Below are 26,553 nucleotides of genomic sequence, written 5' to 3'. Positions count from 1 at the left end.
ATGAAGCTGTTGTTAGAGAATTAGTGATTCTAGGCTGGGCACAGTGGCTCACGCCTGTAATCCCAGCACTTTGGGAGGCTGAGGCAGGTGGATCATTTGAGGTCAGGAGTTCGAGACCAGCCTGGCCAACAAGGTAAAACCCTGTCTCTACTAAAAATACAAAATTAGCTGGGCTTGCCTGTAATCCCAGCTAATTAGGTAGGCTGCGGCAGGAGAATTGCTTGAACCCGGGAGACAGAGGTTGCAGTGAGCTGGGATCACGCCATTCCACTTCAGTCTTGGTGACAGAGTGAGACTTCGTCTCAAAAAAAAAAAGAGAGTTAATAATTCATTACAGAGTATCTCCTGCATGCCAGCAAGCTATGGACATCTGGAAGAAGCCACATGCCTTGCCCTCAAGTTGCTTAGGGTGGAAGGAAATGATTAGAAATGAGCCAAGCCGAGCCTGCACTCTTAGAGTAAGTGTAGTGGCCTCAGACAGAGGAGAGATCCCTGGGACCTGGGCAGTCTGAGCCTTCCACTGGACAGTCATGTGTGAGGAGATTGCATTTCCTGAGCAGGACACTGTGTTGCGTTACATTGGTAACCCCAATTTAAGGCAGCATAAATGCACTGGGAAAACAGCAATATTGGTTAGCCCTGGGAAGTGGTTTTTAGGATGATTATAATTTTTTTTTGTGGGTATTCATTTGATGTGGATAGCTGGGGTGAGTGCTGCTTTCCGTCTTCTGATGGGGGCCTGGAGAAGGCTGAACTGCATTTTTTAAGGTCTGTGACGCCTGCTGCAGGACCTGCAGTGGGAGAAAATTCCCCAGGGTGGGGCTTTCTCCCTATAAGGGTGCTCAGGGCTGAATATCAGGACCCAGAAGGCTGAAAGTGACTGTCCCTCCCTTAACGGATGTCTTCCTTGTTTCTGTGGCCAGGGAGATACTTCAGGGGATTACCGGAAGATTCTGCTGAAGATCTGTGGTGGCAATGACTGAACAGTGACTGGTGGCTCACTTCTGCCCACCTGCCGGCAACACCAGTGCCAGGAAAAGGCCAAAAGAATGTCTGTTTCTAACAAATCCACAAATAGCCCCGAGATTCACCGTCCTAGAGCTTAGGCCTGTCTTCCACCCCTCCTGACCCGTATAGTGTGCCACAGGACCTGGGTCGGTCTAGAACTCTCTCAGGATGCCTTTTCTACCCCATCCCTCACAGCCTCTTGCTGCTAAAATAGATGTTTCATTTTTCTGACTCATGCAATCATTCCCCTTTGCCTGTGGCTAAGACTTGGCTTCATTTCGTCATGTAATTGTATATTTTTATTTGGAGGCATATTTTCTTTTCTTACAGTCATTGCCAGACAGAGGCATACAAGTCTGTTTGCTGCATACACATTTCTGGTGAGGGCGACTGGGTGGGTGAAGCACCGTGTCCTCGCTGAGGAGAGAAAGGGAGGCGTGCCTGAGAAGGTAGCCTGTGCATCTGGTGAGTGTGTCACGAGCTTTGTTACTGCCAAACTCACTCCTTTTTAGAAAAAACAAAAAAAAAGGGCCAGAAAGTCATTCCTTCCATCTTCCTTGCAGAAACCACGAGAACAAAGCCAGTTCCCTGTCAGTGACAGGGCTTCTTGTAATTTGTGGTATGTGCCTTAAACCTGAATGTCTGTAGCCAAAACTTGTTTCCACATTAAGAGTCAGCCAGCTCTGGAATGGTCTGGAAATGTCTTCCTGGTACCAACTTGTTTTCTTCTGCTTGATTCTGCCCTGTGGCTCAGAGGTCTGGCCTTATCAGCCAGTGAAAGTTCATGTAACCTTACGTAGAGATTTGTGTGCAGGAAACCCTGAGCATACACTAGTTTGCAGGGACTCGTAAGGACATGGGAAGGGAGGTTCCCGAAATCCAGGCAGGAGGCCCAGACACCTGAAAGGCAAAGGGATCTTGGTTGGTTGCAGGTGCAGTGAAGTCCACTGAAGGTGTGGTGCGAAGAATGCAGTCCTTCACCCAGGTCCCAGGAGGGAAGAAGGGTGTGTGCTAATTCCTGGTGCCCCTCGGCGGGGGCCAGAGAGAAGGATGGGGACAACCCAGAGAGTCACAAGACCAGTGCCTCCCCTCAGGGTGCCTCCAGGCTGAAAGGGGCTCCTGGCTCTGGTCTCTGGGGACCCTGTGCCCGTTGGTTGGTGGTGTGAGGGAAGAGAATCCATAAGAGAGTTTCTGAGAATTATGGTGTCATGTCCAGAAGCTAGAGCTTACCTTGCATCAGGGGTCTCCACCCACTCCTTTTCCAACCTCCTGCGTTGAGGTTTAGAAAAGAGAGAATCGACTAGGCACTATGGCTCACGCCTGTAATCCAAGGACTTTGGGAAGCTGAGGTGAGAGGATCACTTGAGCTCAGGAGTTCAAGACTAGCCTAGCCAACAGCGAGACCCCTGTCTCTACTAAAAAATTTGGCCAGGCGTGGTGGCTCACGGCTGTAATCCCAGCACTTTGGGAGGTGAGGCGGGCAGATCACCTGAGGTCAGGAGTTCGAGACCCAGCCTGGCCAACATGGTGAAACCCCATCTCTACTAAAAATACAAAAATTAGCCAGGCATGGTGGCACATTCCTGTAATCCCAGCTACACAGGATGCTGAGGCAGGAGAATCACTTGAACCCAGGAGGCAGAGGTTGTAGTGAGCTGAGATCACACCATTGCACTTCAACCTGGGTGGACAGAGTGAGACTCTGTCTCAAAAAAAAAAAAAAATTTACCTGGCATTGTAGTGCATTCCCTATAGTCGGCTACTCTGGAGGCTGAGGCAGGAAGATCCTTAGAGCCCAAGAAATTGAGGCCGTAGTAAGCTGTGATTACACCACTGCACTCCAGCCTGGACAACAGAGCGAGACCTTGTCTCAAATGAGAAAAAAACAAAAAGAAATGGGAGAATCCAGAGAGACTAGGCTAGATCAAGCCTGCTGGGTCCTGGCAGGAGCCCCAGGGAGTAGCTCATCTGCAGACATTTGCTTGAGGACTACCCCCTAAACATAAAGGAAGAATGACATCCGAAGGGTGTGGAGCAGCCATGAGCTGAGAACTAGCCTGGTCTACCTGAGATTGATGGCAGGTCCTGGTCAACACGTCAGCTCTGCGTCAGAGTCCATGCCTCAAGCCCAAGCTGAAGCCCCATCCCTGCTGCTCTCCCAAGAACTCCTCTGCTAGGGCAGGCCCCTTGCCCTTGGGTGCCAGGTGGGACCTGCCTGATGGGATGGGGTGCTTGGCATATACAACTTGCCATGAACTCAAGGTGACCCTGGGGGCCTCCTGAATTGTGATGGGGCCTAGAACCAATGTGCTCTGATGTGACCATATTCTGTGACATTACCTTGCCCTGTTTACTCCAAAGTTCCCAGCCTGGTGCCCAGCAGGCAATATTGCACCTACAGACACATTTACTTTGGTTTCCAAAGTGTTTTTAGACATTTGAATTTGTTGCCAACATTTAAACATTGAGAGATTTCATATTTTTAAAAATCTGGAATTCTGGCTTCTCTTGAAAACTCAGAAATTCTGGCACTATGGGGCTTGCATTCCTGCATGGCTGGAGCTGAGTTGCAGCTGCCCCTTTAGGCCTGTACTCCTTATTTGCTATAGGCTCCGTCTTGTATTACACTAAGCCCATGTCACCCATTTGGCTCCTGCAGGCCTTTGGGTTTGAGACCCTGGTCTACACACTTGGAGACCACCTGTTGTAAAGTACATGGATGTGCTTTGGTCAAGGAATAGACCAAGGTGGATATCCAGGCCAGAGTGACTCAGCGAGTTTAGGTCACAGGCGTATACTCCACTTGTTATATAACCTGCTTGTGTAAGTTCATACTTGGCTCAAAGCCACTATTGTTTGGAAAAGGTATAACTGCCCTGCTGACGCTGTACAGATGTTCTTGGGCTCGGATGGGCATGGCTCCACGTGGTGTGCACTAGCACCCAGAGAGAGTGAAGCTATTGACCCCTGTAAGGGAGAGTGACCATCTGGCAGATAGATAGAGGGGAGCCAGGACATGGCTCAGCTTGTGCCCAGAGGGAGAGTTAAGCCGCTGACCCTGTAGCCAGGGAGTGCACCTGCAAGCATGGGGGTGGCAGGAGCCACAGAGCTGGCTGCTGAGAGGAGCTGCAGATCTGGAGAAGACAGCCTAGGTAAAGGTGGACAGTGTGAGAGCTGCTGATGAGATAGCTGCTGAATAAAACTACATTTTACCTGCCTATGGCCCGCCAGGTTTTCTTTCAGCTATCGCCCATCCACCCAGTCCCCTCGAACCTCAGCATGGGCTGGAACCTGACCCTGGGCATGACATTTGGCATAGTTGTGGACCTGACACCTGTGTTTGTCCTAGTCCTGTTTCTCCCTGCCTTCCTGTTCCTCTCGCTGCCCTCATGGTCACTCCCAAGAGATCCAACCCATGTTAAGTATGGGCTGGAGGACTGCATGAATGCCTCATGATCTTCCCAGAGGCAAAGGCACCTACTGCCTTCCAAGGTCAGTGGGAGGTTGGGATCAACACTGTTTATTATGCTTAGGACAAAAAAGATAGGGAGAAAGATGTGCAACCTTACAGGTCATCTTTCTGGGATAGAACACAATGGGTCTTCTCCTGCCTCCTGGATATGTTAGTCAAGGCCAGTCCATGCTACACATCTAGTCTGACTTCTAAAATAGAAGCACCAGATGAATTCAGCCCTGAGAGAATTTTCAGCAGCTGTGGGGGCGCTGGAGGAAACACTATTAAATAGTTTTGCACCTGAGACAGATAGCCTCACTCGCCTCACCCTAGTCCTGGTGGCATTTGTCTCAGGTGCAAAATTTAAGAAAGAAACCTTGGAGTGCTCACCCTGTGGCTGGGTAGATGGTCCTAAAGTGGTGGTTTTCAAGCCTGAGTGTGTATCAGGATCATCAGGGGAGCTTGCTAAAGAGCAGTTCCTGCGGTCAGACCCTCATGCATTTTGAGCAGGTGTGGGGACTGGGAAACTGCATCTGTAACCTGCTGTAATCTAACGCTTATCTAAATACTACTGTGCTCACACAGAGAACACCGCAAAAGTAGAGGTGTTCCTCCAGAGGGCAGGTGAGCAGATGGCACAGTCTGCTTGGAATTCAGTCAGGTGATGAGAGATGAGATGAGGCACTCCTAGCTTTGGGAAGAGGGAGCTGAAAGATGAACCTTTGCAGGTGCCCACGGTCAAAGTGGTGGTTTAATGCCATGCCATGCCCATTTTCTGTTGGCCTTGGCAGGGAGTTACAGCCCTACCTTAGGACCTGGCTCCTTATTTCTGCTGTAGGCTCTTTCCTGCCCTGGCCGAGATGGAGTGGAATGAGACCTAGAAACATCAAGCTAAATACATGTCCTCAGAAAGATAAAGGTTTACATTTTCACCCCCATCAAATCTGAAAGCTCTCTGCCTGTGTTTTTCTAAGGGATAGGGACATCATTACTCAGTCCACAACCTGGACTCATGTAGGGTCCCCTGTCAGTAAAGGAGTCAGTCAAGCCCACCAGGTATACCAAGGACTCTTACCCTCAGCCCCTACTCCTTGGAAAGCTGCCCCTTGGCCTAATATTGGTGTTTAGCTTGAGCCTGACTCCTTCTCAACACTAAGAGCTGATGAAGTCCTGAAGCAGAAAGAGCTCTGACCTGAGAGTCAAACATCCTTATTCTGATCTCAGCTCAGCCCCTGATTTGTTGTGTGACCCTGGATATGTCACTTCCTGTCTTTTTGACTTTTTAAAATGAAGGGTAGACTAGAGGAGAGCTTCTAAAACTTTAATGTGGTCAACGAAATGGAATAGGAAATTCCACAAGTCTGTCCTTCCACAAAAGCAGCAAATAAGGTGGCAAAAACTCAAATTTATGGGAACTCTGGAAACGAATTGAAAGTTTACAGCAATCAGGTGAATACCTAAGAATAAAAGCTGGATTTAGTAAGAGAGCTTTGTTGTGTTTTAGCTTACCCTGGCCCCATCCCCCACTCCCCAGCATGGCAGCAGCATCAAAAACAATATCCCTCATTCCCTGTATAGGTTCCTGTCACTGGAGGTAGCAGATTAGACCTTATTTTCAAGAAGTATGTTGATTTTGATTTGATTTGTTGCTCCCTGAAGGACTGGTTCAAATGCCTTTCTTTTATTTTGCCTAATTTGGAGCTCTCCTAAAGTGAAGATGGCAGCCTGGAAAGACGTTTCAAGGTCAGTGTATTAGTGGCTCATGCCTAGGGGAAGGAATAACATTTGGAGCAAACAGGAGACAAATTGAAAAGCTTCAGGAGGAAAGGCTAGGAAATAAGATTCTTTGGGTGAGAATAAGGACTTTAAAGAGATTCCACATATTCCTGGGAATCTGAAAGACCATACACATGCCTAGGGCTGGGCATGTGCTTAAAAAGACTTGAGAGGGCCCTATGCTGTCACCTCTGCCTGACCTTCAGGCTCCGTGCAAGCAGGAAGTGAAGGCTAAGGCATAGTTATAAACTGCATGGGTGAAGGTTGAAAGGTGTGTCCCAACACAGAACACATCTGCAAATGCTACGAGGCATTTTGTTGTTCCAAGTGTTCAAAGAAATCTTTTGAATCACTAGCTGACCACTAAGCTAACCAAAGACTTAGTGGCCACACCTGACAAAGAATACAAACTAAAAAACTAAAAATGTAGTTCAAGAAAATAACAGGCTGGGCACAGTGGCTCACATCGGTAATCCCAGCACTTTGGGAGGCTGAGGCAGGTGGATCACTTGAACCCAGGACTTTGAGACCAGCCTGGGCAACATGGCAAAACCCCATCTCTGCAAAAAATACTAAAAATTTGCAGGGCCTGGTGGCACACACTTATAGTCCCAGCTGCCCAGGAGGCTGAGGTGGGAGGATCACCTGACCCTGGGAGGTCCAGGCTGTAGTGAGCCATAATCCTGCCATTGCACTCCAGCCTAGGTGACACAGTGGAGGAATAATTTTATTTCCAAACTTGCCACATTATAAATAATATTCAGAATGTTCAGTTTTCAACAAAAACTATGAGGTATGCGAAGAAACAAAGTATGGCTCATACATAGAAAAAAAATCTGTTAATAGAAACTGAGGAAAGCTCAGACATTGGACTTAACAGACAAGACTTTAAGTCAATTATTTTCAGAAAGGTCAAAGAACTAAAGGAAACCAGGAGAATGATGTCTCACCAATATTGGTAAAGAGACTGGAATTATAAAAAGGAACCAAATAGAAGTTCTGGAATTGAGAAGTACACAAATAAAAAATTCATTGGAAGGGTTCCAGAGCAGACTTAAAAAGGAAGAAGACAAAAATCAGCAAACTTCAAGATAGGTCAATTGAGATTACCCATTCTGAGGTGCAGAAAGAAAACAACAACAACAAAAAAGCTAACTGAGCCTAAGACACCTGCAGGACACCATCAAGTGTACCAACATACACCTAATAAGAATCAAGAGAAGAGTGAATGTAGAAGAAATTTTTAAAGAAACAATGGCTGAAAACATAATGAAAGACATTAATCTACACATACAAAAAGCTCAATGAATTGTAAGTAGGGTCAACTCAAAGAGACACTCAGTGTGACATTGAAACACATTATAATCATACTGTCCAAAAGCAAAGCAAATCCTGAAAGCAGAAAGAGCCACTGGACACGTACAAGAAATCTTCGATAAGATTAATAGCCAATTTCTCATCCAACATCATGGAAGTGAGAAGGCAATGAGATGACATATTCAGTGTGCTGAAAGGAAAATCTTGGGTGGTCTTGATACTTGTAGATGTTCATCTGTGTCTGAGCATTGAAGAGTTAGGTATTTATCATAGTCTTCACAGTCTGTGCTTGTTTGTACCTATCCTTCTTGGGAAGGCTTTCCAGATATTTGAATGGCTTGGGTGTTGTGCTCTAAGCTGTATCTGCTTAAGGATTCACCCCAAGCCCAATAACACTTTGGTTTTTTTTTAGCCTCATAGAGTTACTGCCTTGATGGTCTTGGACAAGATTCAGGATTCTCTGTATTACCATACAGAGACTCTTGTTCATTCCGTTACTGTCTCCCAAACAAAGGGAGTCCCTTTCTCTGTTCTAAGCCACCTGAAGCTGGGGGTGAAAGGACACAAGCACCCCTGTGGCCACCACCACTAGGACTGCACTGGGTCAGACCTGAAAGCCAGCACAGCACTGGCTCTCACCCAAGGCCTGCAGTTACCACTCCCTGGCTACTGCCTGTGTCTGCTCAAGGCCCTGGGGCTCTACAATCGGCTGGTGGCAGAGCCAGCCAGGCTTGTGTCCTTCCCTTCAGAACAGCAAGGTCCTCCAGGCCCCAGCTGGGCCCAAAGGTGCCATCTGGGAGCCAGCAACTAGGGTAAAAAATCTTAGAAGTCTACCTGGTGTTCTGTTATACTGCAGGTGAGCTGGCACTGAATCCACAAGATGCAGTCCTTCCCTCTCTTGCTTCCGCTTTCCCAAGGCAGAGGTGCCTCACTCCATGGCCACCGCCACCACAGGCCCACAGGGAGTACTGCCAGACTACTGCTGATGTTCTCTTAAGGCCCAGGGAGTCTTCAACCAGCTGGTGGTGAATGCTGCCTGGCATGGGACCCCCCCCTCCAGGGCAGTGGGCGCCCCTCTGGCCCAGGGTAGGTCCATAAATGCCATCTAAGAGACAAGTCCTGGAATTGGCATTCCCAAGAACCATTTGGTGCTTTACTGTCCTGTGGTTGAGCTGGTATCTAAGGTGTAAGACAAAGCCCACTTTACTTTTCCCTCCACTTTTCTCTAGCAGGAATCTTGCCTTGTAACCACCACAGCTGGGAATGTGCTGGCTGAATCTGAACCTGAAACCGACAAGACCGAGTCTCACCCAAGGCCCTCAGCATAGTACCCAGGTATCTCTGCTGGTTATTCAGGGACCAAGGGCTCTTCAGTTAACAGGCAATGAATGCAGCCAAGACTGGGTCCTTTCCTTCAAGGCAGTGGGTTCCCTTCCAGCCCAGGGTGTGTCTAGAATTGTGGCCCAGGAACGAAAATCCTGAACAACATGCTGGCAGACTAAATCCAGCAGCATATTAAAAGCATTATACACCATGACCAAGTGAAATTTATCCCAGGACTGCAAAGGTCATTTAATATATGAAAATCAGGCCAAGCACAGTGGCTCACTCATGCCTGTAATCCCAGCACTTTGGGAGGCCAAGGCGGGTGGATCACCTGAGGTCAGAAGTTCAAGACCAGCCTGGCCAACATGGCGAAACCCTGTCTCTACTAAAAATACAAAAATTAGCCGGGTATGGTGGTGGGTGCCTGTAATCCCAGCTACTCGGGAGGCTAAGGCAGGAGAATTGCTTAAACCTGGGAGGCAGAGGTTGCAGTGAGCTGAGATCGTGCCACTGCACTCCAGCCTGAGCAACAGAGTGAGACTCTGTCTTAAAAAAAAAAAAAAAAAAATCGATGTAATGCATGTAATTAATAAAATGAAAGGGGAAAATCACATGATCATCTCAATTGATGCAGAAAAAGCATTTGAAAAAACCCAACATCCTTTCATGATTAAAAAAACACTCAACTAAGACTAGAAGGAAAATGTCTCAACCTGCTAGAGGGCATCTATGAATAAGCCACAGCTAATATTGCAGGTGGGAATGTAAAATAGTACAGCTGCAATACAAAAGAGTTTGGTGGTTCTTCAAAAAGTTAAACGTAAGAGTTACCATGTGACTCAGCAATTTCATTCCTACATATAGACCCAAAACAAATTAAAAAACAAATATTCACACAAAAACTCATACGGATGTTCATAGCAACATTATTCATGATAGCTAAAAAATGCAAACAACCCAAATGTCCCTCAATTGTCGAATAAATGAATAAAATGTGGGCCAGGTGTGGTGGCTCACACCTGTAATCCCAGCACTTTGGGAGGCTGAGGCGGGTGGATCAAGAAGTCAGAAGTTCAAGACCAGCCTGACCAACATGGTGAAACCCTGTCTCTACTGAAAATACAAAAATTAGCCAGGCGTGGTGGTGTGCACCTGTAATTCCAGCTACCCAGGAAGCTGAGGCAGGAGAATTGCCTGAACCCGGGAGGCAGAGGTTGCAGTGAGCTGAGATCATGCCACTGCACTACAGCATGGGTGACAGAGCGAGACTCTGTCTAAAAAAATAAAAGAATAAAATGTGGTATATTCATACAATGAAACATTATTCATCCGTAAGAAGGAATTAAGTACCGATACATGCTACAATACAGATGGCCCTTGAAAACATTATGCTCAGAGAAAGAAGCCAGATACAGCTAGACTACGTATTGTGTGATTCTACCTACAGTACTACCCCCTTACCTTCAGGGGATAAATTTCAATACCCCTAGCAGATGCCTGAAACCACAATAGTATCTAATCCTATTATACTATGTTTTTTCCTATGCATGCATACCTATGAAGTTTAATTTATAAATTAGGCACCATAAGAAATTAGCAACGATAGCTAAGAATAAAATAGAACAATTAGAACAATATGCCAGCTTCTGTGAAGGGAGAGTTGTGTGAAAAACAACAACCATATGCCAGCAGCACTGCTCTTGCACTTTGGGTCTTGATTAAGAGAAAGAAGTGTTGCTGGAACACAAGCACTGTGATACTGTGGCCATTGATCTGGTAACTGAGAAGGCTGCTAAGTGACTAACAGGCAGGAAGTGTAGACGGCGTGGACCATGCTGGACAAAGGGAGCATTCACATCCGGGGCGGGATGAAGTGGGATGGCAAGAGATTTCATCACGCCACTTAGAATGATGTGCAATTGAAAACTCATATATTGTTTATTTCTGGAGTTTAATATTTTAGGACTGTGGTTGACTGCAGGTAACTGAAACCATGGAAGGTGAAACCACAGATAAAGCCGGACTACTGTATTTAAAATGTCCAGAATAGGCAAGTTCGTGAAGACAGAGATCAGTGGTTTCCAGTGGGGTGTGGGGAGCGGGAATGGGATGTGACTGCTTAATAGATACACAGTTTCTTTCTAGAGAGAGAACAATGTTCTGGAACTGGTGGTGATGACTGCACAACTTCTGAATGTACTGGAAGCCACTGCATTTGTACAATTTTTTTTCTTTTTCTTTTTTTTTTTTTTGAGACAAGGTCTCACTGTCTCCCAGGCTGGAGTGCAGTGGCATGATCATGGCTCACCACAGCCTTGACCTCCAGGGCTCAGGTGATCCTCCCACCTCAGCCTCCTGAGTAGCTGGGACTACAGGCACGTGCCACTATGCCCGGCTAATTTTTGTATTTTTTTGTAGGGATGGGGTTTCACCATGTTGCCCAGGCTGGTCTCAAACTTCTGGGCTCAAGTGATCCTCCTACCTTGGCCTCCCAAAGGGCTAGGATTATAGGTGTAAGCCACCGCCCCCAGCCTTGTACAATTTAAAATGGTTAAAATGATGAATTTTACATTGAATTTCACTTCATAGGAAAAATTTTTAAAAACAACAACAAACCACTTTAATGGACACATAAAATCCCTGGGGGTCTCATTGCAATGCAGATTTGGATTAAACAGTCTGGGTGGGTCCTGAGACCCTGATCCCCTTGCTTTTCACCTATGGCCACATTTTGAGAAGCAAGGCCACTCAAAGGGCCCCCATCTGTGTGAATCAACCCCTGCTCCATCTGCCCCTATAAATGACAGGAGTGGGGGTGTCCCCAGGTCTGAGCCTGGAGGGGGTTGCAGGCTTCCTCCAGGCATGGAAGTGGAGTGAGAGGAGGCTGTAGTTAAACGGGTTACTCTGTCAGCAGACACAGAGGAGACCAGAATAGCTTTTATTTCACATGAAGCTAAGGAAGGAAGTCGAGAGGACAGGGCTGGTTCTGTGGGCGCTGCCTGGCAGGTGCACCACCTCCAACTGCTGGGCTCCAGCTCCAGGGCTCAGAAGCCATCTGAAAGAAAGCAGAGGCCCCCAGTGAGCAAGCTGGGGTGCCGCAGAGTACCTGCCCCCGTGGTGCCCAGCAGTTCCTTCCCTTCCCTCCCCGGCCCCCAGGAACTACTGCGCGCGGGACACAAGGATCAAGGAGAGAGCAGAGTGCAACCCCAACCCTGCCTGATCAGTGGGGACGCCCGTCTTCCCTGCGAGAGTTTTGGGGTGGAACAGGAGTGGCTGCTCAGGGGAAAATTAAAGGAGCTGAGAAGCTCCAGTCGTGAGAAGGCTAATGAAGGAGGCAGTTTCTCCGCGCAGGGGTTGTGCTGAGATGGCATCTAGGGCCGGCTCTTCCAGAACCTCATTTGACACTGGGCGGCAGCCACCGGGTGTGGCAGGTGGGGCGGGGCGGGCGGGGAGCAGGGATGATGCCGTCCCGCTTCCGTCCCCAGGGAGCGCTGGGGCCCTCCCTGCCAGCCAGGCTACACCTGTGCAGTGGAGCAGCCGTCCCTGTCTCGCCTGCCCAGCGCCAGATGACAGCCGCCCAGAGGCTGTCCTCTGCCACCTGCACTGCTCACCTCCGAGAAGGTCGGGAGCGGGGCTGAAGGGTCCCGGGGGCAGGTTCCAGGCCAGCTCCTCCAGCAGGCCCAGCAGGCCTTTCACCTCTGTCCCCAGGTGATCCACGGTCTTCTCTACCATCTAGAGTGGGAAGTGGGGTAAAGTCGAGGACAGAAGTGGTTCCACGTTCCGCTTCATCAGCTAGGTCCTAAGAGAGCAGCTGGCGGTCCAGTGCGGTGCAGTGGGAAAGGACTGGGCGCTAAGTGACCTGGGTTTTCCTCACTCAGGCTCTGCCCCTACCTGCCTCAGTTTCCCCAGATGACAATATCCTAGGGGGCTTGCTCTCTAAGGCTCCTTCTTTTTTGGCACTTAGTCACAGATTTGGATGAAGCGCCTGTAGAATACCTTCTCCCTTTTGGACTTTGCAGCCTGGAGCTCACATTCCTTTTGTTGTTCCGCCCCCTGGTGGTATCTCTGCCAAATGACAGGTTTGGGATTCTGAAATTTACTGAGTTCTTAATGGTTTTTCCCTGTGTATGCCATGGACCCCATTGGCAGTGTGGTGAAGCCTACAGACCTCTTCTCAGAATAATGCCTTAAATGCAAAAAATAAAACATATAGAATTACTAAGGGCACCAATTGCATTAAAATATTATTCAAGTATTAGGCCGGGCGTGGTGGCTCACGCCTGTAATCCCAGCACTTTGGGAGGCCAAGGGGGGCAGATCATCGGAGGTCAGGAGTTCAAGATCAGCCTAGCCAACGTGGCGAAACCCTGTCTCTACTAAAAATACAAAAAGAAGCCGGGCATGGTGGTGCGCGTCTGTAGTCTCAGCTACTCGGGAGGCTGAGGCAAGAGAATCACTTGAACCGGGAGGTGGAGGTTGCAGTGAGCCGAGATCACACCATTGCACTCCAGCCTGGGTGACAGAGTGAGACTCTGCCTCAAAAAAAAAAAAAAAAAAAAAAAAAATTCAAGTATTTAAAATTAAACTTTTTGGCCCAGCATGGTGGCTCACGCCTGTAATCCCAGCACTTTGGGAGGTTGAGGCGAGATCACTTGAGGTCAGGAGTTTGAGACTAGCCTGGCCAACATGGTGAAACCCCATCTCTACCAGAGGTACAAAAAATTAGCCGGGCATGGTAAGTACAAAAAATTAGCTGGGCATGGTGGTGCATGCCTGTAGTCCCAGCTACTCGGGAGGTTGAGGCATGAGAATCACTGGAACCTGGGAGGCAGAGGTTGCAGTGAGCCAAGATTGTACCATGGGCTCCAGCCTGGGTGACAGGGCAAGACTCTGTCAAAAAAAAATTTAAATTTTTGATGTAATATATGTATTGGCCGGGCACAGTGGCTCATGCCTGTAATCCCAGCACCTTGGGAGGCCGAGGTGGGCAGATGGCTTGAGCTCAGGAGTTCGAGACCAGCCTGGGCAACATAGCAAAACCTTGCCTCTACAAAATAAATACAGAAATTAGCTAGGCATGGTGGCACATGTGTCTGTAGTCTCAGCTACTTGGGAGACTGAGGTGGGAGGATTGCTTGAGCCTGGGAGGTGGAAGTTGCAGTGAGCCGAGACTGCACCACGGCACTCCAGCCTGGTAGACAGACAGAGACCCTGCCTCAAAAAAAATAAAATGTATTTATTAACTCACTAAATCACATGATTTAACATCAGGCCTAATAACAACTGAAATTTTGACATAAGGAAGGATAAAAATTATATGTTGAGATATTCATAACTAGAAGATGAAATTATCTGGATTTCTATTGATGACAAAGTTATAGTACTGTTAATACCACGGCTCGCTGTTTGTATTTATGATGAATGAGAATGCTCAATTTCAGTTAAAGGCTTGTGACAATAAAGATGTAAACTTTTCCCCACACAAGTTAGGAATCGTGGCTATATAACAAAACAGTGACTGAATTTCCACCTTCCCATCCAGTAATGATGTTGAAATATCCGGGTGGGGGTAAGCAAGGCCTTAGGGGAGGCAGGGTCCACTGGGGGCTGGGCAGCCCGGCAGCCTAGATGGGAGGGTGATGTTGGACGAGGTGGCCACAGGGCAGGATCGGCCCGGATGTCCTCACATTCCAAAGCAAGCTTGCATCTGCCCATAAAAACACCATCCTAGAAGGTGGTCCTGAACTCGCATGTCCTTCCAAACCACCCTGTTACCTCCTCCATGACATCTAGACGGCGTTGCACAGCCATGTGTCTGTCACACGCTGTGCTCTGAGCTGAGTCTCCTCGCGGAGGGCTGAAGGGTTCGGCAGCTGTGGGAAAACAAGTCTTGTCACTGTGGGACCCTTAGTTTTCCATAATGCCAGAGACTCCTGTAAACACTGGGCTCAAATGAGGTCAGTCCTCAAAGCAAACTCAGGAGCAAGCGGAGGACGGCCCAGGTGGGGGTCAGTGTGCGAGTGTCAGCCATCTCAATCCCACCAGTCTCTACAGCCACAGTCACCTACAGACCCAGATGAACTTCCTCAAGGAGGTGAAGCCCAGGGAGGAAGGGAGGATGGGCTTCAGCCAGGCAGAATGGCACCTGCAACAATGGAGAGGTCTGAAAGAGCAGGGCTCACTGTGCAAAACCTGCAGGGAGCCCGCGGTGGCTGGAGATACAGGGTGGGCGGGAGAGAGAGACTGGAGAGGGAAGTCCTGGAAATGAAGCCAAGGGGGCAGAGCTTTAACCCAGGGGCTTTAATAAACCAGTTCTGATGCTTGTTTGTTTTTTTGTGTGTTTGTTTGTTTGTTTTGAGATGGAGTCTCGCTCTGTCGCCCAGGCTGGAGTGCAATGGTGCGATCTCAGCTCACTCCAACCTCCGCCTCCTGGGTTCAAGCGATTCTCCTGCCTCAGCCTCCTGAGTAGCTGGGATTACAAGCACCTGCCACCACGCCCTGCTAATTTTTGTATTTTTAGCAGAGACAGGGTTTCACCATGTTGGTCAGCCTGGTCTCAAACTCCTGACCTCAGGTGATCCACCCGCCTCAGCCTTCCAAAGTGCTGGGATTACAGGTGTAAGCCACCAAGCCAGGCCAAGGGGGGTTATTTTAACAGAAAAGTCACAGAGCCAAACATGAATTTTTTAAATATAGGGAATAGATTGGAGGGAGATGCCTTTGAAGGCAGGAGGTTACTGCAGCAATCAGGATAAGAGGGGTGAAGGAGAAGTGATGAGCAGAGGCAGGAGCTGTAGGAATAGTGAGGAAGAAAATGAAAGGAGATATTTCAGTAGCAGCGTTGACACTGGGAACCCGTTAGTAACAGCTGGCATGTGATGAGTGCTTACCATGCACCATGTAGGGTGCTAACTTAACCTCTCCAACAACCTGTTGTTATGCCCAATCTACACGTAGGAAAACTGATGCACAGAAGGGTGAAAGGATGTGTCCAAAGTCACTACTCATAAGCAGAGGACTCATGAGGCCAAGAAGAGGGCCAATAAATTGGGAGAAATGGGGGCTGAAGAGGCTGGAGGTCTTAGGAATCACAGGAGGAACAAGAGGTAAAGAATATTGCAATTTTAGCCAGGCATGGTGGCTCACACCTGTAATCCCAGCACTTTGGGAGGGCGAGGTAGGCGCACGAGGTCAGGAGATTGAGACCATCCTGGCTAACATGGTGAAACCCCTCTCAACTCTTGATTCACCATTGTTCTCCTTGAGTTAGCTCTTCCAGGCACCATCAACCCTCAGAGCAGAAGTCTCAGAGCCCTGATGCCGAGCTTGGGTTTCAGAGTTGGTAACCCTGAGATGCCTGTGGGGCATCAGGGTTGGCTGGAACCTTGGAGAACGCTGACACTCAGGAAGGAGGGTGCTGCCCCAGAAGTCAAGAGAAGCCAAGAGCTTTACAGATTCTGCAGAGGATGAAAAGCGTCAGCAGGGCCGAAAGCAGCGGAGAGGTCTAGCAAGATAAGGACTGGAAAGAGAGCACAGAAAGGCCCTGCTAAATTTCACCCCAGCACTTTTAGGAGTGGTGGAAAAGCAGAGTTTGGATTACCATGAGATGAGGAGGGAAGGTGAGGTTGGGGGTGGAAACTTGGATTCTGGAAAATTTCACGAAGCTTGGCTGTGAAGGAAGGGAGATTGGATCGCAAGGTCTAGAGGAGTATTTATGGTTGTCATTTTTTTTTTTAAAGCATTGGAAAACACAATCATGCTTACAGCCTGAGGGACAGGAGGAAGACAGGAGAACCCAAGGATGAACTTCCTGAACTGATGGGAGGCCCTGGATCCAGAGGGGGTGGGACCACATCTCGAAGGAAGACAGAGGGAATGCAGCAAAAATGGGCAAAGGCAAACCATCTAACTAGAGGGCCAAAAAGTGGAGTGAGCTCCCACCTGATGGCCTCTATTTACTCTGTGCAGTAAGATGGAGATCACGTAGGGAGGAGAGCTAGATGTTAAAATTACAAGAATTCTATGAGTAGGTTGCTAAACACAGACATTAAAATAGTGACCATGGTGTCTGGAAATGGTAGCTCGTGCCTGTAATCCTAGCACTTTGGGAGGCCGAGTGGGAGGGTCGCTTGAGGCCAGGAGTTCAAGACCAGCCTGATCAACATAGTGAGACCCCATTTCTAAAAAGAAAAAAAATTTTAAGTTAAAAAAAAAATGGTGGCCATGATGAGAACATTTACACCACGGAAATCAACGACCCCCCTCCCCACTTTTTTTTGAGAGCCAGTCCATCAGTGCACCACTAGGTAAGGGACTTGAATAAAGAGAGGGCTTCAAAAGGGGATGTGCAGAATGAGGGATGCAGTGTAGGAGGGCTATGCAGAATGAGCCGGCATCAACAAGGAATCCTGGAAGCACGAGTCCTCCCCCAGCAGTGCTCCACAGTCTGGGTGCAGGGCAGCAAAGACAGATGGCTGGATGGAGCTGAAACCTAGGAGTCTGCAGGATGGATGTGGTGGAGGCAAGGGGCCAAGGAACTGAGATTTGGCCAGAGGTTTAGGAGAGGAGGCCTGGAATCCAGCTGGGATGAGGAAGGAAATGAGGCCAAGAAGAGGGCCAATGAATTGGGAGAAATGGGGGCTGAAGAGACTGGAGGTCTTAGGAATCACAGGAGGAACAAGAGGTAAAGAATGTTGCAATTTTAGCCAGGCGCGGTGGCTCACGCCTGTAATCCCAGCACTTTGGGAGGCCGAGGCGGGCAGATCATGAGGTCAGGAGATCGAGACCATCCTGGCTAACACGGTGAAACCCCGTCTCTACTAAAAATACAAAAAAATTAGCCGGGCGTGGCGGTGGGCACCTGTAGTCCCAGCTACTAGGGAGGCTGAGGCAGGAGAATGGCGTGAACCCGGGAGGCAGAGCTTGCAGTGAGTGGAGATCGCGCCACTGCACTCCAGCCTGGGTGACAGAGCTAGACTCCGTCTCAAAAAAAAAAAAAAAAAAGGAATATTGCAATTTAACTTTTAGAGGTCGAGCAGCTTCAGAGAGTGACAATATTAAGGCTGTGGCCATGGATGCGGGCATCCAAAGCTCAATAGGGGGAGTTATGGAACTTGATCTCTCTACGTGCAATGCTTGTAGCTGTAAGGCCTTGGTATTGGATGGGTTGGCCAAGGGGCCATCTGCAGTTGTCTAGAAGTGGGGCAGGTCTTGAGGTAGGACAGAGCTGATGATGGATGTGTAACTCTGAGAGGCTGAGTGATTTCCCCAAGGTCACACCATCTGCAAATGCCTGGACCTCAGGCACCCTGACCTCCTGTTCTCATCTCAGCAAGGTGGGGACCCCCTGCCCTGTGATTTTCTGATTCCAACTCTATCTAGCTCTCAGCACTTCCACTCAGAGATGAGAACAGGACCAGAGACAAAATGTCCTTCCACTCTGAGCATCTTTTGTGGAGAACAATCTGTTTTCCAAATTATCCTTTTCATTATTTCCCTCCACTGAACTTAGAAAATACTCTTCAAAAGATAATGGTGTTATTGCTGAATCTGGGGAGGGAGGAGGACATTATAATGGCCCTTTGGTTATTTTTTTAATGCAAGTATTTTAAAGACCTATACTGAAATATTTACAGATGAAAGGCTGTGCTGTCTTGGATTTACTTCCAAAGTAAATAATCCAGGCCTCAGTGGGGATGGTGGAGAGGCATGCGTGGATGTTTAGAGCAAACAGGATGGGCTGAGAGTTGCTGATTGTTGAAGCTGGGTGATGAGCAAATGGGGGTGCATTCAGCGATTCTGTCTACTGTTGTGTGCACGATTTGAAATGTTCCATAACAAAAGCTGGCTGTCTGACGAGGTTGTCAGCAGAAAGCAGCAGCCATTGTGGGCTGCAGGCATTCATGTAAAATATTCAGAGAGAGAGAGGCCCCTGGGGGCTATGCTCCATCCTGGCCCCACATCCTGAGAAGGCCCTTGAGAGGCAGGAGCAGGTCTAGAGGAGGCTATGGGAAGGGACTCCTCTTTTTTTTTTTTTTTTTTAGACAGGGTCTCACTCTGTCACCCAGGCTGAAGTGCAGTGGCACAATCATGGCTCACTGCAACCTCTTCTTCCCGGGTTCAAGCAATTCTCCCACCTCAGCCTCCAGAGTAGCTGGGACTACAGGCACACACTACCATGCCTGGCTACGTTTTGTATTTTTTGTAGAGATAGGATTTCACTACGTTGCCCAGGCTAAGCTCAAACCCCTGGGCTTAAGTGATCCGCCTGTCTCGGCCTCCCAAAGTGCTGGGATTATAGGAGTGAACAACCGCACCCAGTCTGGGACTCCAAATTTTAACTCAATTCTCTCAGCTGAAACTGGGCTGCTCAGCTTGGAGAGGAAAAGCTCTGAGGGGGCCTCTGTTGTCACCCACAGAGTGGCCGTCCTAGGGGAGGGCCTGTTGTCATGAGTCTGTGGATACACATACCCCCCTGCTGGCTCTGTCCAGAGGCCTTTGGCCAAGCCTTTTCTCTGAGGCTCACCTGCCCTCTCCCAGACCCTAGCCACTCTCCCGTGTAAGGCTCAGGCCAGGGGGATGCAGTGTGACCCTGCCAGCCAAATGGGAGTCTGGCTGCTTTGGAAGTCAGAACAACCAGAGCCTGCTCCCCTCCACTGGCCTAAACCACCCTGTTCTCTACGTGTCTGTGATGAGGTCTAACTTGGCTCCAAAACCCCTCCAGGGAAAAGGCTGGGCTGAGGTCGCTCCCAACATGGCTCAGCACTAATCCTTCACATCTGGACAAAACTGTGCTTTGTGCACCCTGGAGCAACTGTCCGTGAGCTCATCGGGGCCTCCACAGAGTGCATCTGAGAGAGCAAGCTTGGAGCAGGGCCTGACATTGTACTGCCAGCATCCTCACCACAGCGCTGACTTGAACGCATCATGGTAGAAAACATGCTGGAGACCCCTTTTCTCAGCCTGGTTCAGCCACTAATGATTGTGGGATTGTGAGAAAGTTTCTTCTGCTCCCTGAGCCTCTGCTGCCTCTTACATAAAATGGGGTAGGGTAGGCCTGAGGCCCTGACTCCCCCGTGTAGCGCATCCTTAATTCTTCTGTCTTTTGGAGGCTGCAGAGAGGCCTCAAGAATTAGCTAGACGAGCTGGGCTCGGTGGTTCACACCTGTAATCCCAGAGCTTTAGGAGGCTGAGGCAAGAGGATCGCTTGAAGCCAGAAGTTTGAGGTCACTCTGGGCAACATAGTGAGACTCTGTCTCTACAAAAATAAATAAATAAATAAATAAATAAATAAATAAAATAAAAATTAAAAAAAAATTAGCCAGGATTGGTGGTATATACTTGTAGTCTCAGGTATTTGGAAAGCTGAGGCGGGAGAATCGCTTGAGCCCAGGAGTTTGAGACTACAGTCAGCTACGATTGCACCACTGCACTGCAGCCAGGGTGACAGTGAAAGACTGTGTCTTGTAAGAAAATAAATAAATGAATAAAAAATAGTAGACACGCACATGCACCACAGGGCTGTCAGTGGCTCAGACAAGGGGAGTGGAAAAGACTGAAGGATTATGATGATTAACCCTGAGCAGCCAAGGCTGTGGCTCCTCAGGGCTCCCTTCCTTCCTTTCCTCCCGCTCTCCCAGGCCCTGCCAGTTGGGAAATGGACCTCCTTGGATGCTGCGTTGTTTTCTCTGGCCCGGCTCCTGCTAGGGGCCTGATGTGCACCCTGGATGGTGGCCATGGGTGGGGCATCCTGTGCTGGTGAGAACACGCTGCTGTGGAGCCCGGAGGCCCCAGAGGAGGGCTCGGCTGGGCTGGCTGCCCCAGTTAAAGAGACGTGGCCCCTGGGTCCCATCCTCTGAGGCGGAAGTACGGGTGCTTCTACTTACAGGCCTTATGGGGAGACCTTTTGTATCTGGACCCAAACAGTAAGAAAGGGCCACAACACAGATGATTTCTGCATGCTGGGGGTTGAGAAATGTTTTCTCAGTGGCATCTGAAAGGTGCCGCTGTATCTTCTGAATTGTCAAAGTCACACTCTGCTTTGAAAAGCAACCCTGGCCACTTGGGGGTTAATTATATTTGACCACATTCAACATAATAGAATAATAAATTTACCACATCCAATATTTGTATTAAAATGTATGATTCACTCAAAACCATCCACGGGTTTTGATCATTTTTGAAAGCAGCAGAAAACTATTCTTCAAGTGATTTTATAAAAAACTCCAAAATATGGGCCGGGCGTGGTGGCTCATGGTCTAAAAAGCCATCAGGGATAAAGGTTTCTCTGAGTGCTGCTAAAAGAAACCAAGACTTGGGCCCAGCGCGGTGGCTCATGCCTGTAATCCCAGCACTTTGGGAGGCCGGGGCAGGCTGATCACTTGATGTCAGGAGTTTGAGACCAGCCTAGCCAACATGGTGAAACTCCCCCGCAGCCCCCGTCTCTACTAAAAAATGCAAAAATTAGCTGGGTGTGGTGGTGCACACCTGTAATCCCAGCTACTTGGGAGACTGAGGCACGAGAATTGCTTGAACCCAGGAGGCAGAGGTTGTGATGAGCTGAGATCGCACCACTGCACTCCAGCCTGGATGACAAAACAAGACTCTGTCTCAAAAAAAAAAAAAAAAAAAAAAGGCCGGGCGCAGTGGCTCACACCTGTAATCCCAGCACTTTGGGAGGCCGAGGCGGGCAAATCACAAGGTCAGGAGATCGAGACCATCCTGGCTAACACAGTGAAACCTCATGTCTACTAAAAATACAAAAAAAATTTAGCCGGGCATGGTTGCAGCCGTCCGTAGTCCCAGCTGCTTGGGAGGCTGAGGCAGGAGAATGGTGTGAACCCGGGAGGCGGAGCTTGCAGTGAGCGGAGATCGCACCACTGCACTCCAGCCTGGGAGACAGAGCGAGACTCCATCTCAAATAAATAAATAAATAAATAAACAAACAAACAAACCAAGGTTGGAAGTTGGACGTGCTAGAGATAGCTCTCAATTTATAGAAAATATAAGGGGTGGAGGTATTTAAATGACATAAAAGGGATGCAATTAGCAAAATCTAAATGTGGAAAACTTTACAGGACAAACTTAGTTTCTTCAACAAAAACAAAAAATTAAGTAAAAAAAGGGGAGAGAAGACTTACATATTTAAAGAGATCTAACAGACATATTGACCAAATGCAGTGTATGTAACCTTATTTGGATCAAACAAATGAATTGCAAAAAGATATGACACAATCAATCAAGGACATTTGAACAGTGATTGAATATTTAATGATATTCAATCACACACAGTTTTTGGAGTATGATCATAGCATTGCAGTTATGTTTATTAAGAGTGCTTATCTCTTAGAGGTACACAAAGAAATATTTATAGATGAAAATACATGATGCCAGGCCAGGCATTGTGGCTCACACCTGTAATCCCAGCACTTTGGGAGGCCAAGGCAGGTGGATCACTTGAGCCCAGGAGTTCGAGACCAGCCTGGCCAACATGGTGAAACCCTATCTCTACTAAAAATACCAAAATTAGTCAGGTGTGGTGGTGCGTGCCTGTAGTCCCAGCTACTCAGGAGGCTGAGGCAGGAGAATCAGTTGAACCCGGGAGACGGAGGTTGCAGTGAGCTGAGATTGTGCCACTGCATTCTAGCATGGGTGACAGAATGAAATCCTGTCTCAAAAAAAAAAAAAAAAGAAAGAAAGAAAGAAAGAAAATATACAATGCCTGGATTTCCTTTAAAATAATCCAGGGAGGGGAGAGAGGGTGGAGGCTATAGATGAGATAAAACTGCCCATGAACTGATACTTCTTGAAGCAGCGTTGATAAGTATATTACATGATTCTTTCACATACTATTACTTTGTATTTTTTTGTATCCAAAAGTTTTCATAATCAAAAGTTAAGATATATCATCTAAAATCTGAAAGATTATGCACAAAAATATATGAAATCAGTGTGAAATTACACTAATACATGAATACTTTCCTCCTTTCCTTCTTCTTTTTTTTTTTTTTTTGAAACTGAGTCTTGCTCTGTCACCCAGGCTGGATTGCGGTGGCTTGATCTCGGCTCACTGCAACCTCCGCCTCCCAGGTTCAAGTGATTCTCCTGCCTCAGCCTGCCGAGTAGCTGGGACTACAGGCATGTGCCACCACGCCCGATTAATTTTTTGTATTTTTAATAGAGACAGCATTTCACCATGTTAGCGAGGCTGGTCTTGATCTCCTGAGCTTGTGATCCGCCCGCCTGAGGGGTAGGTGAGGGGAAGAAAGCGGACAGTGAAAAGCAAGGAACCCAGCTAATGGAGTACCCAGACAGCCTCTCTCCTCCGCACAGCTCTCCACCTCCACCCAGTCCCCCATCTCCACCCAACATAGCTCAGTTTCCCAGAGAAGCTCCCTGGAAACCGGGAGGCTGACTTCTTCACTGACTGCAGATCCACCTGAGGCCACCTGGCAGGTGAATCGGTGGCCTTTCTCCTGGGCCCGACTGCCTGGTTCCTTAAGGCTGTGCTGGGCTAGCCTGGGTCACTCATCCTTTGGAGTGTGGCTTCTTATGCAATGTCCTATAAAGCCAGGCCTGAGCCTCCACAGGCCCTCTGAGATGGAGCTGGCCTCCGGGGCTGCCCCACCCAGCAGCTGTGACCTCCCACTCCAGATCCTGGCTCCTTCTCTCTTGCCAGCTCTACTCCGGGCATCGAGCTTCCCTCTCTCTCCTTTTTGGTCTCTCTCAAATCTTTCTCTTTTCTTCAATATCCTCTCTCCCTCCACCCCTTGCCATTTTAATCACTTTTTCTCTTTCCTTCTTCTCTTTTGTCTCTCAAACTCCTTTTTCTTTCTATCTTAGTTCATATCTGTTCAGGGGAAGCCTCTTTCTGTCTCAGCCTCTCCTTTTTCCTTTTCACTGTGTATTCTTCCCTATCTCCTTTATCTCTCCGTTGCTCTACTTCTCTGCCTTTTTCTGAGTCTGTTTCCTCTCAATCTTTCTCTCCATCCCTCCCTCCCTGCATCTGCCTCTCTGTCCATCTCGCTGCTGTGTCCAGCTCTCTCTCCGTCTCTCTCGCTCATTCCTTCCTCGCCATCTGCGGGTCTCCCCGGCTCCAGGTCCCCTGCCGCGCCCTGCGCCCCACTCACCGGCCAAAGAGCCCGCGGCGCGGAGCAGGGCCAGTCCGGTCAGCGCGCAGAGCAGGGGCCGCATGGTGCCGGCCTGGCCGAGCGCAGCGCCGCGTCTGCCCGCAGCCGCCCTTCCCGGATCGCACCCGGCCGGCCCGAGAGGAAATGCACTCAGTTCGAGCCAAAATTCCTGGGCGGCTCCGGACTTTCTGGCTCGAGAGAACCCGCCCCCTCCAGAGGCCCCTCGGCACCCCGTGGGCAGCGCGGAGCCCAGAGACCCCGGGAGCTGAGGCACCGACGTGCCACCTGGGCGCCTCCCGAGGAAGGGGCCGCCCCCCGAGTCCCCGCACCTCCTGGGAGCCCGGGAGGGAAGGCGGGGCGGGGGGCATTGGGTGAGGTCTTGGGCTCAAGGCGACCGAGCCTGGGGTCAGGGGTTTGTTACGAGCCAGTTTCACAGGCGGGCAGACTAAGACTCGGAGGGAAGTGTCTTCCTCGGCATCACTCTCAGCCATAGCACAGGATCTGAACCCCTGTCTCCTGGGAGTTTGGCAGCTTTTCTCTGTCTACCTACGAACAAGAAATTAATTCTAATTACATGGAACAGTGTCTGCCCCTAAGAGGGAGACCCAGAAACTCACTGCTCTGGTAAGGGAGTGATAGAAATATGAAAAGGTAATTTTAAAAAGAAAAGGTAAAATCGTAACTCTCGCAAAGATATGAAATTAGCATATACTAAAGATTTTATTCAATTCATTATTAATGAGGGGATAAGTAAGATGGTACAAGCAGCCCAAAGTTTAGAGCACAGTAGTGGAAACTTCCCCTATGGGACATGCCCATCCAACAAGTGCAACAACAAATTAAGTTTTAGTAAAAACACAAAGCAAAAAAGCTGTAGCTCTAACTTCTCTGCTGCAGAGCCCTGAGTGAGTGTCTCGTCTGGCTGTAAGTGGAACACATTCATCACCAAGCCTGGGAGAATGCCTTTGTCCATCAAGGGTCCCCGTTGGGATTACCTGGAGCTCTTGCAGATCAAGGCTGCCTCTCTGCCTTCTGTGTTCCTGGCTGTGGCTATGCAATTGTCCAAAACAGTTACCACGCTAACCAGTGATCCAGTTCTCACTCCCTCCTCCAGAGCAAGATAGTAGCCTCAGACGGAGAAATTCTGGTTCTGAGCCCGAGAATCTGAGACAGACTCAGATCTAAATCTTTTAAAAGCCTTCAAGGAGATTATGATGCCCACATGAGCTGGCTCAGAAGAAGAATTTATTTCAGGAATGCCAAAAATTTCTCACGCTTGGTGGTAGGACATTCCTTGATAGTTTCGCCAGGTGGGAAAAAAAGTTGTCAAAGAACTGCCCAACTCATAAGGATTCTTGTAGCTTAGAGCCAGTGGGCTACCTTATATTTTGAATTTAAGACTAAGAAAACACACACACACACAAAAACATATACAATACATTATTGTTGCGGTAGAGCATAAAGTAATTAAGTATACAGAGTAAAACATGAAAGTCTTTTCTGTTACGAATTCCCTCCGTCCAATGATTCAGGTCCAGTCCCCTCAACTTGGTAGGCTCTGCCTGTTCCACGTCTATGCATTCCCCATCTACCTAATGTATATTCAGACACAAATGTATATACATGAGATCAAGTCATAGATATTTTGAAGATTTGCTTTCATTCATGTTTATCTCAGTCATAACATTAAATCTTGGCTGGGTGCAGTGGCTCACGCCTGTAATCCCAGCACTTTGGTAGGCCGAGGTGGGTGGATCACCTGAGGCCAGGAGTTTGAGACCAACCTGGCCAACGTGGTGAAACTCCGTCTCTGCTAAAAATACAAAAAATTAGCAGGGCGTGGTGTTGGGCGCCTGTAGTCCCAGCTACTCAGGAGGCTGAGGCAGGAGAATCAGAACCCAGGAGGCGGAAGTGGCAGTGAGCCAAGATTGCACCACTGCACTCCAGCCTGGGCAACAGAGCAAGACTCCATCTTAAAATAAAAGAAAATAATCTTGGAGATCAGTCTATGTGGGTACAGATAAATCCACTTCATTCCTTTTAAGAGTTAAAATATCCCATGAATGGATACAAGGAGCATTATTTATCCAAACAGTCCCCTATTGACAGACATGTAGATTGCTTCCTTTTTCTCTCCAATATAAAATAAGCTTTAATAAACATTCCTTTGCATATATCTTCATGTACGTAGTACATATTCCTGTATGTACATATTTCTGAAAGGCTGGAAGAGGAATCATTGCGTCAAAGGCCTTTTACATTTTGCCAGATAGGCCAAAAACTGTTCCCCAAATTGTTACTAAGCCCACAGGAGGGGCAAGGGGTCTTCCAGCGCTGTTCCAAGGTGCACCTGAGCATGTTAGTCTAGGTAGGAATTGGGCTGCAGGGGGCGCCATTTACATAAAATACTTCTGCGCTGGGCGCGGCGGCTCACGCCTGTAATCCCAGCACTTTGGGAGGCCGAGGCGGGTGGATCACGAGGTCAGGAGATTGAGACCATCCTGGCTAACATGGTGAAACCCCGTCTCTACTAAAAACACAAAA

The 26,553-nt window shown here is 48.5% G+C and overlaps 2 protein-coding genes across 10 annotated transcripts in view; one reads left to right on the top strand and one right to left on the bottom strand.

Annotated features, from left to right (window-relative positions):
• ANXA11 (annexin A11) overlaps positions 1-5,947 on the top strand; it is a 54,920-nt gene extending 48,973 nt beyond the window's left edge. For all 7 annotated transcript variants that reach the window (NM_001278407.2, NM_001157.3, NM_145868.2 and 4 more), the window contains one exon: positions 924-5,947. In NM_001278407.2, the coding sequence (NP_001265336.1) occupies positions 924-983 (60 nt within the window). In that variant the 3' untranslated portion in view covers positions 984-5,947. The remainder of the gene's footprint in view (positions 1-923) is intronic.
• A 5,529-nt stretch (positions 5,948-11,476) lies between these two features.
• Positions 11,477-25,175, bottom strand: PLAC9 (placenta associated 9). 3 transcript variants are annotated; one of them, NR_138551.2, is made up of 4 exons: positions 25,005-25,175; positions 14,657-14,754; positions 12,493-12,613; positions 11,477-11,936 (listed from the first exon to the last, which is right to left on the bottom strand). NR_138551.2 is itself a non-coding variant. In NM_001012973.3 (4 exons), exons 1-4 carry the CDS (start codon positions 24,071-24,073, stop codon positions 11,926-11,928), a joined length of 294 nt encoding a protein of 97 aa, NP_001012991.1. In that variant the 5' UTR covers positions 24,074-24,106; the 3' UTR covers positions 11,477-11,925. The 3 variants fall into 3 exon arrangements, 2 of the variants coding, with proteins under 2 accessions (NP_001012991.1, NP_001318054.1); NM_001012973.3 differs by lacking the exon at positions 25,005-25,175 and adding an exon at positions 24,010-24,106; NM_001331125.2 differs by lacking the exons at positions 12,493-12,613; positions 25,005-25,175 and adding an exon at positions 24,010-24,106.
• Positions 25,176-26,553: the final 1,378 nt, after the last annotated feature.

The sequence above is a fragment of the Homo sapiens genome, chromosome 10 (genome assembly GCF_000001405.40).
Source record: "Homo sapiens chromosome 10, GRCh38.p14 Primary Assembly".
Classification (NCBI taxonomy): domain Eukaryota; kingdom Metazoa; phylum Chordata; class Mammalia; order Primates; family Hominidae; genus Homo; species Homo sapiens.
This window is presented reverse-complemented; position numbering and strand designations above follow the sequence as displayed.

What these genes read in the sequence shown, in the direction of transcription:
- PLAC9 (NM_001012973.3), bottom strand. Translation starts at nt 24,073, where the DNA reads ATGCGGCCCCTGCTCTGCGCGCTGACCGGACTGGCCCTGCTCCGCGCC. An exon ending in CGCCGCGGGCTCTTTGGCCG is followed by an intron (nt 14,755 to 24,009) that starts GTGAGTGGGGCG and finishes GTTTTCCCACAG; the next exon opens with CTGCCGAACCCTTCAGCCCT. An exon ending in GTCTAGATGTCATGGAGGAG is followed by an intron (nt 12,614 to 14,656) that starts GTAACAGGGTGG and finishes TTCCCACTCTAG; the next exon opens with ATGGTAGAGAAGACCGTGGA.